This window comes from Homo sapiens, chromosome 4, assembly GCF_000001405.40.
Source record: "Homo sapiens chromosome 4, GRCh38.p14 Primary Assembly".
Lineage (NCBI taxonomy): Eukaryota > Metazoa > Chordata > Mammalia > Primates > Hominidae > Homo > Homo sapiens.
This window is the reverse complement of record NC_000004.12, coordinates 110,532,495-110,549,702: the sequence shown is the minus strand read 5'-3', so window position 1 is coordinate 110,549,702 and position 17,208 is coordinate 110,532,495. Positions and strand designations below refer to the sequence as shown.

Below are 17,208 nucleotides of genomic sequence, written 5' to 3'. Positions count from 1 at the left end.
CAGTGTTTCAGAGATTTCAACTACTCTTTTCTCAAATGTGTCTTCTAAGCATAACAATGTGAGTAATCACCTTACAGTCCCATTTAGCCACTGCTCAAATAACGAGGAAGCATTGTTCAAGGCTTCTCTGTCTCCCATCTTGCACGCAAACCCTAACACGGAGGAACGGAGTAACCTTAAAAAACAAACAAACACAAATCCAGGGCCTTAAGCACTTTTCAACAAGTCTTAAAACAAAAAACAAATGTTAAATGAATTTTAGTTGTTAAAAAGTGAGAATAACTTTGTGACATGGTCTCCAGCATCATTCCATCCCAGAGAATCTGCAATAGGCTTCACTTGACCTTGGAAGTATTCCTGAAATAAAAGTATTATGTACAATAAGTAACAATTTACTACATATCAGTAGTATCCCAATTATTATACTCAGCAGCCCCTGTTATAATCTGTTTTCCTACTAATTCAGAGAACTTTGCGCTTGTCCTTAGAAAAACAATGTATTTAATTTTTATCACATTGCAATTTTTTTCAATCCTGAAAATATAAACCATCCCGGACCTTCCTGTAATGTTTTATAAAACTTTGGGTAAGGCCCTTTTAACCCCTATTTCTTAGTTAACATATGTAATAAATAGGAAAACACTCAACCTACTTTCTGCACTAAGATTGTTTAAGCATATATGAAATAATAAAAATAACTGATATTGCTTTAGGTTTTACAAAGCACTTTCATATTATTTGATCCTCACAATCCCATTACCGTAAGCAGGCAAGTGCTGGCATTCCTAATGTACAAAGGAAATTAAGACTCACAAATGTTAAATCATTTGTTCAAGATCTTTCATTTTGTAAATAGAAGAGCTAGAGATTTGAATCCAGAATTTGTCTAAAATTACAAGTGTCCTACTTACGTGCTACAGAAATCACAAAGCAAAGAAACGGTATTTAGAATGACTACATATGATAAAATCTCAATGTGGAAATACCAGCAGTAAGAATAAGAAGATATAATATTATATTTTAGAAGAATAATTCACTTTAACATAGATAAAGTCCATTTTAAAAAAGATCTAATTAGTATTTATTGTTTAAAATGTTGTATATTTTAAGTAAAATATTAATTGTTGTATTTCTTCTAACACTAAAATGCACCTAAGTGGTATGTATGCAGAACAACAAATTCTGATGTACTTCAAATTGAAAAAGAATAGACGGCATAGCTTTGCTTTGATTAGTCAAGTCATTGCACTTTCTTTTGATTCCACCTGGCAAGCAAACATGGTTTAGGTCCCCAAGAGCTCCTTCTCTCAGAAAGCATCCTATTCTACTAATGGCTAAACATTTACTTTCATAAGATACCATAGCATTAACGTCACCTCAATCATAGGATATAGCTCTTTATCATCTTCAAACATGCTAATGATGTAGGTTACAGCTGAAATTACTCTCTGCCATGGTAAAAAATTCTCTTCCCTTTTGAGATACTTGGTCAAGTTCAAAGCCACCTTATAATCTAGAAGTTGAGCTCTGAGAAAGACAAAAAAAAAAAAAAAAAAAAAAAAACTCACAGTTAATTAAAAACCACAGACTTTAGTTTCCATTTAACTGAAAGTTTTGGCGATCAAAGCATTCCATGTTAATGAGGATTCTTCCATTCAACAATCAAGAAATTGCATTTATTGGTTGAAGCCCAATCAAAAAGTTTTGTCCGAAATTATACAGTAGGGCTTTCATACATTCAATAGTAAGGAGGAAGAAAGGCATTAAGATGTACATTTGAAAAAGCACAACAGCAAAATTTCAAATAAAACAAAAGCCATTTAGCTGTACAGTTAATATTGACAAATAGAAACTTTTAAATTTTAGGTTCCCAAGTGGATTTTAACACATAAAGGCACTACTATAAATGTATTTTGTTGAAATTATTTACATTTGCTTATGAAGAAGAAATATAAGTAACAGTTCTTATTAATCCTGAATGCTTAAAACATTCAAATTGAACTTTTATTGTCCTTTATAACATCTTCTTATACATTTCCCAGTAATATTCATTAAAAAAGTAAATTTTTCTCTTCTAGAAAATTTGAAGACACTGTTGATATTTTAAAGGTTAAAGAATCCACTTTCTTCCCCTTTCAAAAGAATTTTAGAACCTTTTGAAATCAGCTCAGCTTTCCCCACTTCCCTGTCCTGTTTTTTGTATTCCCTGTCTCATGAAATTACTCTCTCAAGAAACCACTAGTACAAGAACCTCTATTTCTGACTCTACGTCTAGGGAACTCAACTCAAGACTGCTAGCATTCTTACTCAACTTTGGGTCTCAAACTCCATTTAAGTCCATAGACAAACAGCAATTCTGAAGGCCAGACTTGATTGAGAATTTTCTTTGTTCAAAAATATTCTGTTTATATAGTGAGAGCCCAGCCTGGGGGACTTAAATTATAGAAGTTTACTATATTCTATAGTGTAGAGAGGTTGGAAGCTATAGCTTAAAATTTCCACCAAATAAAATGAAGAAGAGGACAAAGGTCATATGAGAGCATTCTTGCTCTTCTATATTGAGCTAAGGCACCTAGGAAGGTTGGGGGACTCTTACAGCAGAAGGTTTGTTTTTTGTTTTCCTGAGTGTAATTTGGAAAGACTGCACAGTCCTGCTTAGAGAAGCCTGAGTTAAGTAGTTAAGTATAGTGTCTTGTCAAACATGGCTCCCTAAAGGGACAATAAAAATTGTTGAGAGGTACCTGGGGGAGTAAAACTGACCCCATGTGCTTGGGTTCTTTGGCTAGTTTTTCAGGTGGTGTGAAGGGCATAAAGTTCCCAGCTGTCTAGTCACTCAACTGAACTTGCCAATTAAATTCAGGTTTCTGGCTTAAAACAGTCATTTTGCAATTAACTAAATCACCTTTGGATTCTTTTCCCATTCCCCATCTTCTCACTTCCTTTAAGGGAAGTCCATGAGAGGATGGGAAAAGTTGCTTATAGAGTTCTGTGTTGTTCTCTGGTCATCTCTGCAAACACTTACAAAAATGTTTGTATCTAAGGTCCATGATTTTGGCTTGACTGATGTTCACCTGCTGGTTCTTATTTGCTAACGTGGCCATTACCTTGCATATCCTTGGAGCCAGTGGTCCTTGAAACCTGGCTGAAATTCTGCTTAGATCATTAGCTTAGGTGGTCCTTTCAGCTGTTCTCTTTGCCATTCGTCCCTTACCTAGTGACTCCTGCCCCCACGCAGCCTTGTCAGCCAGCATACTCTGCTTTCCCTTATGTTATTACCCACCCTCTCCTGGCTGTAGCAAGAAGTGGGCTGAAGAGGACAATATAAAGTAATTGCAAACAGAAAACAAAAAACAACAAAAACTATTGTAGCAAGCAGGGGGCGGGGTGGGGGGAAGAATTATTTCTGTGTCTGTTTTGGCAAGGCCCCAAGACTAAGTCCTATGCTCCAATGCTCCAAAGAAAGACGCAGGACCCCAAAGCAGGACTAACATGGTCAAGAACAAGACTGTGTGGCTCTTTGCTGATAGCCCACCACCAGCCTATAAAAGAGGTTGGAGAAACTAAGGTGAGACATTTTAGTGGAGGCCTTTCAAAGAGTGCTGTCAGTATACTGAGTACACTGTAAATGCTCTCCCCTCCAAGGGCTAGGGCACCAGATGTTTTTCTGTCTAATTAAGACTCAGGAGAGAGGTTTCAGTGGGACCACTTGAAGAGGTTTACCTGTGTCTCCTGGAACTTGGAGGCACCGTGGCTTGGTGTCTGACACCCTGAGAAATCTAAAAGATGAGAGGCTATTTGGCTGCTGCTCTGGCCTCAGAGTGAAGAGATGGGACTGCATGGGGTGGCCTGTTCTTCCAAATATTGTCAGGACAAAGCATACATGACAACCTCCTATGGACCAGAAGTGGGTCAGAAGTGTCCACCTGCCCACCTCAAGGAAACTGCAGGAGAAAGATCCTTCTCAATGGAATGGATATGGGTAACAAAAATCCCATAAAAACACAACACAAGGAAAAAAATCAGCATTAAACATCAACAAAGTTCAGAGAGGACCAAAAGTAGGCAGCACATCAGGATTTTTCTCCCTCTCACCTACTCTCCCACCCTGTTCTCTTTGCCTTAACTTTGGAGAAACCAGAGGCAGCACGGTGACTCGGGAGACATAGAAGTTCCAAGCAGAGAAACGAAGAGGAAATCAATCACCCCATTCCCATTGCAGGTGACTGGCCTGAACCTGGCCTAAGCTGGGGGCAGGGAGAAGCTTTAAATGAAGTAGAAAGCTTTGATGATTTTACTTGACTGAGAAAATTATGGAATTGAGAGGGTTTGGATGAACTAGTGGTGATGGGTAAATTTCTTACCTTGAAAAGAGTCATATGCCCAGCCAGGGCAGTAGGAGTACTACCTCTTCACATCAAGTTGGAAGAGACAGGGGAATAAAAAATTCATTTATTTTCAGATGTATCATTTAGTTCTGATTATTAAATATAATGGTTACTACATTCCTTTGAATACCTCAGTAGACTTGTTTAAATTCTAATCCTGCCACAGTTGCTCACCTATTTAACTACGCATTTCTTCTCTCTTCCACCCCCTCCACCAAAGTTTCATAATGGTCTTAGCTTATGTGGTCTTTGAAGCTGCCCTCTTGGCTCTAACCAATGCTCGTTGAATCTGTTTCTCTCCGAGTCCCATTTTCCTCATGTGCTGCAGAACCTCATTGAGCCAGGTGATAGCACAGGTATTTTCTAGCTCTCTTGTGTGATCCTACATATGTTTTGAATTTCAAATTTGTTTCATTTTCTTCCTCTCCACAGCTCTTCACAATTTTATGGGGCTGTGGCCAAGGAGCTGAGCAAATGTGAGCAAGTCTTTCAGTAGTGTAAGTTATTTGCTTTATACTCAGTTCCTCAGAGAGAGCTGTTCAAGAGGCTTTCTTTCACTTCATCTTGGAATAGAAAGGACCTCCTACATTGTGGTGCAAATTAAACTGTAGAGATAGTACAGTTCTTTGTAATTTCTAACAGTGAAGAAGCTGAGCTTTGGAACAGGACAATTTAAAAATAAAAACTAAATGATTCTGTTTAAAAATACTTATTGATCATCTTATTTCATCATTTAATTTCCCAGATTCTATTCTACACAGTGCCTGGCACATAGTAAGTCGCCAATGTTTATTTATTAAATGAGTGAGTGGTATACTGTAATATAGTGAAAATAATCTATTACATATCCAGGAGGTTAAACTTGGAGATTCACTAGAACATCATATTTTCTATTAGCTACAAAACGAGTGTAGATTACAAATTCAGAAGAGCTCTTCTAAACGCATCTTCACTACTAATTAACGGTGGATGCATTTTGGTCATGTAATACAATGTATTGAGTTTCTACATGCCAGATAATCTTTTAAGTGTTTTATGTCCATTATCTCATTTATTCCTCACAGAAGTCTTATAAGGTCATCTCTACCTTGGTGATAAGAAAATTGAGCCAGAGAGAAGTTAAGAGACTTACTTAAGACTATATGGAACCAGGATTTTAATGGGGTTCAAGAGCCTGTTTTCGAACCCCATAATTCCTTCCTTGAAATATGTCAAGGTTTTCTGACTTTTAATATACTATCTAGGAACTCTGTGTAAAATAGTTTCCCCATGCCTTTAGTACTACTATACTATTCTTCCACCTCTCTATTTAGTCAGTATTTATTATCAACTGTTATTGGCAACGTACAGTCAGGAGCTGGGTTTGGGTGCCTACCCTCATGAACCTTCAGTTTGATGGGTGAAATGCACAATTAATAAACAATAACAATAAAATATTATGAGGAAATATAGGGTCCCATAAGAAGGATACCCAACCCAGAGAAAGAGGCCATGGGAGGCTACTGAGGGAAGTGGCTCCTCATTCTTAGCACATTGCTCATATCTAGAATGAGGCGACTACAAAGCCAGAGAAATAAAATTGGCTGTGTCCTCAGCTTCTGCAAAGTGCCAGGAACTCAATAAATGCTTGTTAAATTACTGGTGTTAGACTATGTGAATTAAAAAAAAAATAGAGGTACCATGGATACTACTTAGTTCTTCCAATCTACACTTTTTCTAAAGAGCAGGTTACCTTCAGACTATGAGAAAAAGAGTCAAATTTTCCAAATGGTCCCCTAATTCTGATCAGTTCTAAAGCACCATAGCTCATTCTTCTTACCCCAGTGACCTGAACAAGATTTGACAATTCTAGCCATAAAATCTTACACTGGGCTCGGGCTCACAGAACTGAATTAATAAAATACATTGTTTGTCTTTATATTAAATCAAATTATGAAGGTACATTTTTGATCATTTGCAAATGTCACTTCTAATTAGCTCAAGGATCCTGATATAGACAAACCATACTCAAAGTCAATAAGTTAGGTTTGTTTTTGTGTATACCTTAAGGGCTAATGTCAGTATTTTGACTATTAGGCTCATGTGAACTTTTGAAAAGAGAGTTAAGGAAAACAATAATGTTTTAAATAGTGGCTTTGGATATTTTAAGCTAAAATTGATTAATACTGCAATGTTTAATTCATTTTTAAAAGATTTATGAGAAAACCCACAGTATTTTAAGTAATTTAGTCTCATTCTAAAACGCACCTTGCCAAGGCAAAAGCATCATCAATAAGACTTGCACGATCTGCTGAAGAAAATGTCTGGGAAGAGGGAGAAAGAGAGATAAAAACACAATTCTTAAGGCAAAGCATGTTGAAAAAAATTAATATCATTAAGATGCTGTTCTTAGAACAAAAATAAAAGTTTCCAACCATTGCTATCTCTTACCTTGTGGTTCAAGGAGAGCGCTGTAGCTATCGAGTCCCAAGTTGCTACTTCATAATTTACACGATAAAACCCAATATGATCTGGGTTTATTTTGAGAAAAGCATTTCCACTAGGATTAGAGGAGTTCAAAGTGATTCCTGTAGTAGTAAATAAACACTAATGAGCAACATGTTTGCATGCACTGTCAACACAGAGAAATTAGACCCAGAGGGCAAAAAGAAAATAAAAGAAAAGAAATATTAGCTCAAGGAGGCAGGTTTGATTTGGATCCAAAACCCAAAGCCTAATTTTTACTTAGTTGTCTAACTTTAGAATACCACTATAATGAGTGAGCTAAAAAAGAAATAAGTAATATAAATAATTATACTGTAATTTATGATGGATAGTTTTTACTGGCAGAAGCTTGTCAAATGGGCGAAATAATTTCGTGCTGGTCAATCCATCAATAAAAGAAAACAGTGCCTCGAGACAGAGAAGTCCATGCCTTCAGGGGTAGTCCATAGATCCCTAATCATAATGGATTGATTACACAAACAATATTCACCAGGGCAGCCTGGGGAGGGGATACAAATGTAAATACTCAAAATAATACTTTGTTTATTAAAATCAACATTGAAGTTGATGGAAATGGCTATCACTAAGCAGGATAATACATTGATAATCAGCAACACTTTTAAAATGTTACTGTATCAAGAAGACCTGCAATAGAATTGAGATCTGAATGAAACGTTCTTGATTTTGTAATCGACTTCACACTTGTTCTTCCAATTTATTTATCTTTGTAAAGCCGTCTACTTCCTATTTCAGTTGGTTACAACAATACTTTTCCATCAATGGATTTATCAAATTAGCATTCTTTCTAAAACAACATCCATATATATGTGAGGCTCTATTGTATAGATTTTAGAAGCCCAAGGCTGAAGGAGCAGAGACTTATGTTTTAGGTAAAAGATATGTACTTAAAATAATAGCTATGCTTTGATATAACCATGTTCGTTAGCGTTACTCCTATATTTTTCAGTTCATACATCATACACTCTTTTGTTTACATGAACAATATACAATTTAAATAATGGTATAGGAACATAGTATAGTTGAGAAGTTTCAAATATTTTAAGGTACCAACAATGTAGGTTGTGATATTGAAAAATAGGAGATGATGCTGGAAATAAAAGCCTGGCCTCCAGTATGAAGAGCCACATGCCATGTTAAGAATCCATCTTATGAGAGGGGAAAAGAGTTTTAAGCAGAAAAATAGCATGCTCAAGTCTATTTTCTGGAAAGATTTCAATAGTGGTATGGGAGATATTTTGGAGGCGATTCTAGCGACAAGAAGACTAATTTAGAGTCCACTGTAGTCATGTAGGGCAATAGAGGATGAGGGCTTACACTAATGTGGAGATGATGAAACTAGAAAGAAGTTGATGCATTCAAGAGACTTATCACAGGTAAAATCAATAAAATCCTTTTTCTGACTTGATGTGGACAGTCAGAGGAGGGGAAAATGGATTGCACAACTGGATGAATAATGGTGCTGCCAGTAGAGAATAGAGGAAGGTGAGTCAGTTTGGGAGGAAATATGATTTAAATTTTGGAAGTGTTTGCAAGGTCTGGAAGATATCCAGGACACAGTAGTTTTTCATAATATATGAGTAACCTCTCCAACAAGACAATAAGTTTCTTTAGGAACTTTCGGAGTAGGTAATTGATAAATTATAAACCCTTACCTCACTCATGTAGAATTTCTCTTTCTTTGTCATCCTCCCATGGACAAGTTGTTGAAAGGAAGCTAATCTTTTGGCATCTGTACATTTTGAATGTTTGTATCAGAAGGAGAGTTTCTTGCTAAGCATAAAGCCATATGTTACAGGAGAAAGAGCATGAACTTTTGAGTCTCACAGACCTAGGATAAAAACCTTGCTCTGTGACTTACTAGCTGTGTGACCTTGGCCAGATCACTTGACCCCTCTGTGTCCCAGTTCACCCCAAGGAAGACAGGGACAAAAATCCCTCACAGGGCTGTTGTGAAGATTAAATAAGATAACATAGGTAAAGTGTTGGTCACATAGTTATGTGCTACGTATCCAACAGATGGTAGCTATCCCCATTATAATGAAAGGGGATATGCTGCCAGTTCTATAAATAGCGAAGCAAATATAAATAACGTTGAGAAGTTCCTGGCAATCCATCTAAATACTGCCATATTTTAGTGTGCTTTATATGTACCTAGTTAAGCCTGTCTAGAGTTACTGTGATTTTTCTCACTTTATAGATGAGGAAGCTGAGATCCAGGAAGTCAGTAGTTAAGGACTTTCCAAGTTCATGCTACTTTTGGAACAGTTGTCAATAGCAAAATACTGTTCAGTTGTTTAGTTACATAATGAGTAGAACTAAAATACTCTAGTAAGATTAAAATACAGGACTAATATACTGTATGTTTCCTTCTGTTACTCCATTTACTATTTTTTTTCTGATTATAACAATAGTATGTATTCTTTATGGAGCACTTGGAAAATGCAAAAAAGTATAAAGAAGAATATAAAAATTACCCACCACAGTTAACATGTTTTTTACCTGTTGTGTGTGTGTGTGTATCTTCTATATGCACACATGCACAAACACACAACAAATATAATGGGACCCTACTGTTTTTATGATTAGCAATCCTTTTTCATTTGAAATTATATTTTAAACACCTTGCAATTTCATTTTATATATTTGGAAATCTAAGTTTAATGGACATATCATGCTGTATCAACTTAAAAATTGTTTTATTCTGTTTCTTATTAGTTCTATCTATGCCAAAAAGTATTGAATGAGTTATTTCTGAGTAGGAGCTCTTTCTAGAAAATTCTTACTTTTTTCTTTTATTATTTGCCTAGATGATAGAGAAAAGCGATAATTACCTTTTCAAAATTTCATCGAGAGCCTCTTTAATTTCAACCCTGATAGATTTCAGTAACAGAGCACAGGTAACAGTTCTTTAATGTTACTATCTATTATAAATAATTATAAAAAATTTTAGACAAGTAGACAGCTTATGATAGCCTGAGATTCCTAGAGAAAAAAACATTTTTCTTAGGTGATGATATGAATGCTGTGTTGCACTAATCCTTTAAGTGAATTATTTTTCAATGTAAAATTACAGAGTTTACCTCTTATTAAATTTTGTGTATCATTTGATAGTAAAAGAGCTGAGGCCGGGCACGGTGACTCACACTTGTAATCCCAGCACTTTGGGAGGCCAAGATAGGAGGACTGCTTGAGACCAGTTTGAGACCAGCCTGGTCAACATAGCAAGACCCCCATCTCAATTTATTTAAGAAAGCAAAAAAAACAACTGAAAGACACGAGTAATGCTTTTTAACTAATGACATGCAAAATATATTTGAAGAGCTAAAAGTTTCAAGTAGAATGCATTATTAGACTTTGGGGTCATAGAAGAAAATTTTAATTTCTGAAACTAAAGCTAACATGATCCATAATAAAATGGATTGGTTATCCATTTATGGTAATGCTTTCAACAAATTACCCATTCAAGAAAGTATTAGTCATTGTTTTAGTAATAATTACAGGGTCCATTCTAAATCTCAGCAAGTGGCCTAGAGAATCTGCCTGTAAAGAAAGGTGTACAAGCATACCTTACTTTATTGCGCTAGAGAGAAGTCACTTTATTGCACTTTGCAGATACTGCATTTTTTACAAATTGAAGGTTTGTAGCAAAGCCAGTCTATCAGCACCATTTTTCGAACAACATGTGCTCACTTCATGTCTCTAGGTTACATTTTGATCATTCTTGCAATATTTCAAACTTTTTCATTATTATTATATCTGTTAGGGTGATCTGTGATCAGAGATTTTTGATTTTACTATTGCAATTGTTTTGGGGAGCCACGAACCACACCCATATAGGTGAGAACTTAATCGGTAAGTGTTGTGTGTGTTATGACTGCTCCACCAGCTGGCCATTCCCCTGTCTCTCTTTTTATCTTTCTCTTTCTCTCTCTCTCTCTCTCTTTCTCTCTCCTTCCCCTTGGGACTCCCTATTCTTTTAGACACAGCCATATCGATATTAGCCCAATCAATCATTCTTCAATGGCCTCAAGTGTTCAGATGAAAGTAAGAGTTAAACATCTCTCACTTTAAATTAAAATATAGAAATGATTAAGCTTAGTAAGGTAAGTATGTCAAAAGCTGAGACAGGCTGAAAGCCAGGCCTCTTGTACCACACAGTTAGCCAAGTTCTAAACATAAAGAAAAAGTCCTTGAAGGAAATTAAAAGTCCTACTCCAGTGAACACATGAATGATAAGAAAGAGAAACATCTGTATTGCTGATATGGAGAAAGTTCTAGCTCTCCGGATAGATGGCCAAACTAACCACAACATTCCCTTAATCCAAAGCCTAATCCAGAGAAGGACCCTAACTCTCTTCAATTCTGTGAAGCCTGAGAGAGGTGAGGAAGCTACAGAAGAAAAGCTGGAAGCTAGCAAAGGTTGGTTCTTGAGGTTTAAGGAAAGAAGCCATCTCCAAACATAAAAGTTCAAGGTGAAGCAGCAAGTGTTGATATAGAAGTTAAAGCAAGTTAATAAGAAGATCTAACTAAGATCATTTTTGAAGGCAGCTACACTAAAAAACATTTTCAGTGTAGATGAAACAGCTTTATATTAGAAGAAGATGCCATCAAGGACTTTCACAGCTAGAGAGAAGTCAATGCCTGGCTTTAAATCTTCAAAGGACAGGTTGACTCTCTCATTAGGGGTGGATGCAGCTGGTAACTTTAAATTAAAGCCAATACTCATTTACCATTCCAAAAATCCTAAGGCCCTTAAGAATTATGCTAAATCTACTCTGCATGTGCTCTATAAATGGAACAACAAAGCCTGGGTGACGGCACGTCTGTTAATAGAATGGTTTACTGAATATTTTATGCCCATTGTTGAGACCTGCTGCTCACCAAAAAAGATTCCTTTCAAAATAGTACTGCTTATTGACAGTGTGCCTGGTCATCCATGAGCTCTTATGGAAATGTACAAGCAGATTAATGTTTTCACAGCTGCTAACACAGTATCTATTCTGAAGCCCATGGATCAAGGAATGACTTTCAAGTCTTGTTATTTAAGAAATACATTTTGTAAGGTGATAGCTGTCATAGATAATGATTCCTTTGATGGATCTGGACAAGGTACATTAGAAACCTTCTGGAAAGCATTCACCATTCTAGAAGCCATTAAGAACATTCATGATTCATAAGAGGAGGTCAAAATATCAACATTAACAGGAGTTTGGAAGAAATTGATTGCAACCGTCAGGAATGACTTTGAGGTGTTCAAGACCTATATGGAGGATGTAACTGCAGAGTGGTGAAAATAGCAAGAGAGCTAGAATTAGAAGTGAACCCTGAAGATGTATCTGAATTGTTGCTATCTCATGATAAAACTTGAATAGGTGAGGAGTTGCTTCTTATGGGTGAGCAAAGAAAGCGGTTTCTTGAGATGGAATCTACTCCTGGTGAAGATGCTGTGAGCATCTTGAAATGACAAAAAAGGATTAAAAATATTCCATAAACTTAATTGAGAAAGCAGCACCAGGGTTTTGGAGAAGTTCTACTGTGGGTAAAATTCTATTAAACAGCATCGCATGCTTCAAAGAAACCTTTTGTGAAAGGAAGGGTCAATTAATGCACCAAACTTCAGTGTTGTCTTATTTTAAGAAATTGCCACAGCCACCCAAGTCTTTAGCAACCACCACCCTAATTAGCTAGCAGCCATCAACACTGAGGCAAGACCCTTTATCAGTAAAAAAGATTACAACTCGCTGAAGACTTAGATGATTGTTAGCATTTTTAGCAATAAATTATTTTAGTTAACATATATACTTTTTTACACATAAGGCAATTGCACACTTAGTAGACTGCAGTATAGTGTAAACATCACTTGTATATGCACTGGGAAACCAAAAAACTCATGGACTCACTTAATTGTGATATTTGCTTTATTGCGTGGCTTGGCACCAAAACTGCAGTATCTCTCAGGTATGCCTGTGGCTTTAATATGTAACATGCAATGAATAGGAAACTGGAAAAATGCAACCCAATTATCATGAGGAAAGATTACAATTAGCAATAATTTTGGTAGTTGAAAAAAAATAACTGCAAAGGAGAGTTGGGTAGTGAAGATCTGTCAATGTGTCTCCAGTGTGCCCATGGAAGTAGGTGCCAAATTGAGCTGGAACATGTGTTTCAGGCTATTTGACAGGTCTGGTCCTACAGAAAACAGTGTATGTGACAGAGACCTACTAGTTGTTTACCACACAGTTCCCTTTTCTTCCTGGGTACAGAATTGGACTATGTTAGCCTTCCTTGCAGGACATGATTTGAGAACTGGCTATAAAATGTGGGCAGAAGTAATAGATGCACTTCTAGGCCTGATTCCTTCATTATCTTCCCCTGTCTTTGAGCTAGATGCAAAAGAACCAGTGAGGGATTCCAAGATGCAGGGGATGGTAAAGCCATAAGAAGGAAGAAGACAGGATTTCCAAGTCATTATTTGGTGGAGAGCCACCTAGGAAAGATGACAGTCAGGAATATCTCCTTTAGACTGTTGCATGAACAAGAAACTTTTATTGCACCAAACCACTATTGATTGTTTCTAAAGTGCAATAATTAGACTCACCTGGCTAATGCAATATATCACACTATCACAATTTAAAGACATCTGTAAAATAATTAATCTACCTTAACTCTTCCTTAATTCTTTTTTTTTTTTTTTTTTTTTTTTTTGAGACAGAGTTTCACTCTTGTTGCCCAAGTTGGAGTGCAATGGTGCAATCTCGGCTCACTACAACCTCCGCCTCCCGGGTTCAAGCAATTCTCCTGCTTCAGCCTCCCGAGTAGCTGGCATTACAGGCAGCTATGTATAAAAAAGTATATATGTTAACTAAAATAATTTATTACTAAAAATGCTAACAATCATCTGAGCCTTCAGCCAGTTGTAATCTTTTTTACTGATAGAGGGTCTTGCCTCAGTGTTGATGGCTATGCCTGGCTAACTTTGTATTTTTTCAGTAGAGACGGTGTTTCTCTATGTTGGTCAGGCTGGTCTCGAACTCCCGACCTCAGGCGATCCACCTGCCTTGGCCTCCCAAAGTGTTGGGATTACAGGCGTGAGCCACCGCGCCCAGCCCTTTAATTCTTACTAAGTAACTTGCTTCCTGGAAAGAGATACCTAATTAGGTGACATGAGTATTCAGATTCACTAACTAGTATATTTTAACTGTGTAAATTAACAAGTTAGCATTCTTAGTTAATCTCTTGTATGTTTGGTTTAGATAAGTAGATCTTCCAAGACTTGGTTGACTAGGGCTGAACTGACAAATTGAGTTTCTAAACCAGCAAAACTGAACCCATAATCATCCAATCAAAGCTTGCACATTCCATGAGGCTTAGCTTGAAAAAATGAAGAAAGTGCTTCCCTCTTTGTCATCAAATACAAAAATACATGCCCATCATTATTTTGGTATTAAATATTTATGTATAATTATCACAGATGTTTAGTAAATCTATTTCTATAGAAACTGACTGGACAGTCTGGATAGTCCAAACCATCCAGAGGACACCCTCAAATCTGGAAGTAAGAGTTGCAAAAACAGCTATTGTAGAGTCCGCACCACCTCCTAGAACTTAGACCCAGCCCAGATCCTATGCACTTAGAAATGTCTCTTTTAAAATATTATGTTTTAGCAAGATTGGTTACCTGACACCATATAACAACCTTCAATCCTTCTAAATGTTAGAAAGCAGTAAATTAAATGCAAACAGGTGGTATGCTACTAAATGTGGATGCATTAACAATAGCCAAAATAGCAGCTGATACTAAAAGATGGAGACATAACTAAAATATATGCAGTTAACCTCTAAAAGTACAGCATTCTGGGGCAAACAACCCTTCATTAAACTAGGACTTTCTGAACTCAGAATGTACGTAGCACCTTGTTGATAATAGGGTGGACAGGAGACAAGAAATATGTGTAGTTTGTGTCATCAAGAAGCTTATAATTTAGTTGAGAAAAAAAAAAGAGAGGCCAGGCGCGGTGGCTCATGCCTATAATCCCAGCACTTTGGGAGGCTGAGGCAGGTAGATCACCTGAGGTCTGGAGTTCAAGACCAGCCTGGCCAACATTGTGAAACCCCATCCTTACTAAAAATACAAAAAAATATCCAGCTGAGGTGGCAGGCACCTGTAATCCCAGCTACATGGGAGGCTGAGGCAGGAGAATCACTTGAACCCAGGGGGCGGACGTTGCAATGAGCTGAGATCGCTCCACTGCACTCCGGCCTGGGCAACAAGAACAAAACTCTGTCCCAAAAAAAAAAAAAAAAAAAAGAAACAACGAAAAGAGAGAACATATGAAGCTTAATAACAATGATTTTGTTTAAAATATAAAGTAATAATACTAGGAATAAGGGCTGATGAAAGTGACAGGATAAAATATACTATATTTTATGACAGGAGATGATGACAGGAGAGATTATTCAGGGTAACTGGAGTAGCCAGAAAATGTTTTATAATAGAGGTTCTCTTCTTTCATTAGAAATTATGAGTTTAGTTGTTGTTTTAACGCCTAAAATAGCACATACAATAGAAATGTAAATAAAAGACCTTGGGGAGAGTCCCACTATTGCCTGAAGAATTTCTAACTAATGAATCATCAAAGAAACCAAGAGGAGGGAGGTAGGACTGGTAACATGAGCTGGTTGCCCATTTAGTACACTCAGGACATGTTCGTCATCCGTGCTCTAAGCTGAGAGCTGAAGATGTCCTTAAACAGGAAACAGGAACTTATTGTACAGCCTAAAAATGGAGCAGACACTTTGAAGTAGAAAAAGACCTCTAGTTTGCTTCTGGCTCAGTGACCAGACATGATTCTGAAGTTTCAGATAAAGGCAGATTTGTCATCAAAGCTCTGTAACTATCAGCCTCTTCATTTATTTGTTTATTCATTCATTTATTCAATAAACAATTATTAGATGCCTGCTGTAGATCCAGAACAACAATAACAAATAAGCTCCATTTCCTCTAAGAATATTCTGTGGGGAGGGGAGACATAGATAGGTCAATAGTTAGAACAAAAAAATGTGTGAAATGTATTGACAAAGGGATACGAAGGAGTGTGAGAACTCCCTGCTCTTTCACTTTCACAGTCATGCTTCTGTCCAGAGCACACGTCTCCTCTACATTCAATTTTTATCACCCATTTATACTCTATCCTTAGCCTCTGAACTCTCAGCCTAGATATTTTTTAGGAATGCTTCCTGAACCCCCAAACCTGGGCTGATGCTTCTATGAGTGCTTTTGGTGATCTGCATTGCCACAGAGGCACTTAGGACACAGCATTATGTCTGCCTGCAAACCCATCCCTAGACAACCATCTACACAAGGGTTAGGATTGCTTTTTTTTTTTTTTTTTGCTCCAGCACTGCCCCCATTCTTATCTCTGTGTTTTGCACATAAGCAATACGTGCTTGAAAGAATTAATCTAGTAATTAAGGATTAAATTTATTATTCCAAATATTCTAAGGAGTACATAACACATATTAGAACAATGTCTATTGTGAACTCTTGAAATGCATTTTACAAAGCACTTGAGTAAGCTTTAGTTATCTGGAAAATTCACTTGTATGGAAACTTCATTCCATGAAAGTGCTGGGTGAATTGTACTAGGGTAGATGAATTATTCACGCTTTCAAACTTGTAAACAGTAAATCAAACAGCTGCCGAGATATTCTTCCAATCCTCAATTAACTATGGTGACCAATGGGGAAAATATTTAGTAATAGTTAAACCAAATCCACTGAAAACCTTCCAGTGGAATTCTAACGTTCTTATTATGTCTTTTACCAGTGCTGTTACACATTGTTGAAAATGTCTTTTTTTTTTCTGTCTTCTCCCTTTTCCTCTGGCAAGTGTACTTATGAATAAGAAAATGGTCAGAAGACCACAAAAGATAGAGCCTCGCATTGAAACACAGCATAAAATACTAAAACAAAGTGGCATTGATCTGGGAATTCTGCAAAAATTTAGAATTTTTTTTGATCACGATATTACAATAATTATTAACATAAATAAGCAAGAGAGAGTTTTGTTGTAATAGCAATCCCTGTGCAGAAGGGCTTCAGAAGGATTTCACCTCTATAATGACAAAGCTGGTAGTTTGTAGTAATAGTAAAAAAAAATCACAAAAACTGTTAACAATAAACGTTTTTTTTTAAAAGGCCCAAAGGTGGAAAAAACATGCTGGATCCACAGAAAAACTTATACACAAATGTTTATAGCAGCATTATTCATAACAGACAAAAGGTGGAAATGATCCAAATATCTATCAACTGATAAATG

At 36.7% G+C, this 17,208-nt stretch overlaps 1 protein-coding gene across 7 annotated transcripts in view; it reads right to left on the bottom strand.

Annotated features, from left to right (window-relative positions):
• The window catches only part of ENPEP (glutamyl aminopeptidase), an 89,131-nt gene that overhangs the window by 15,583 nt on the left and 56,340 nt on the right, over positions 1-17,208 (bottom strand). For 5 of the 7 annotated variants that reach the window (NR_166842.1, NM_001977.4, NM_001379611.1 and 2 more), the window contains 5 exons: positions 6,816-6,952; positions 6,633-6,688; positions 1,377-1,527; positions 284-357; positions 71-175 (listed from right to left, as the gene is read on the bottom strand). Coding sequence is in view for 5 of the 7 variants with exons in the window: in NM_001977.4 (NP_001968.3) it covers positions 71-175; positions 284-357; positions 1,377-1,527; positions 6,633-6,688; positions 6,816-6,952 (523 nt within the window). In the remaining 2 variants the exon portion in view is untranslated. Of the gene's footprint in view, positions 1-70; positions 176-283; positions 358-1,376; positions 1,528-4,361; positions 4,408-6,632; positions 6,689-6,815; positions 6,953-17,208 lie in introns of all 7 variants that reach the window. The other 2 variants (NR_166844.1, NM_001379613.1) reach the window with 2 other exon arrangements.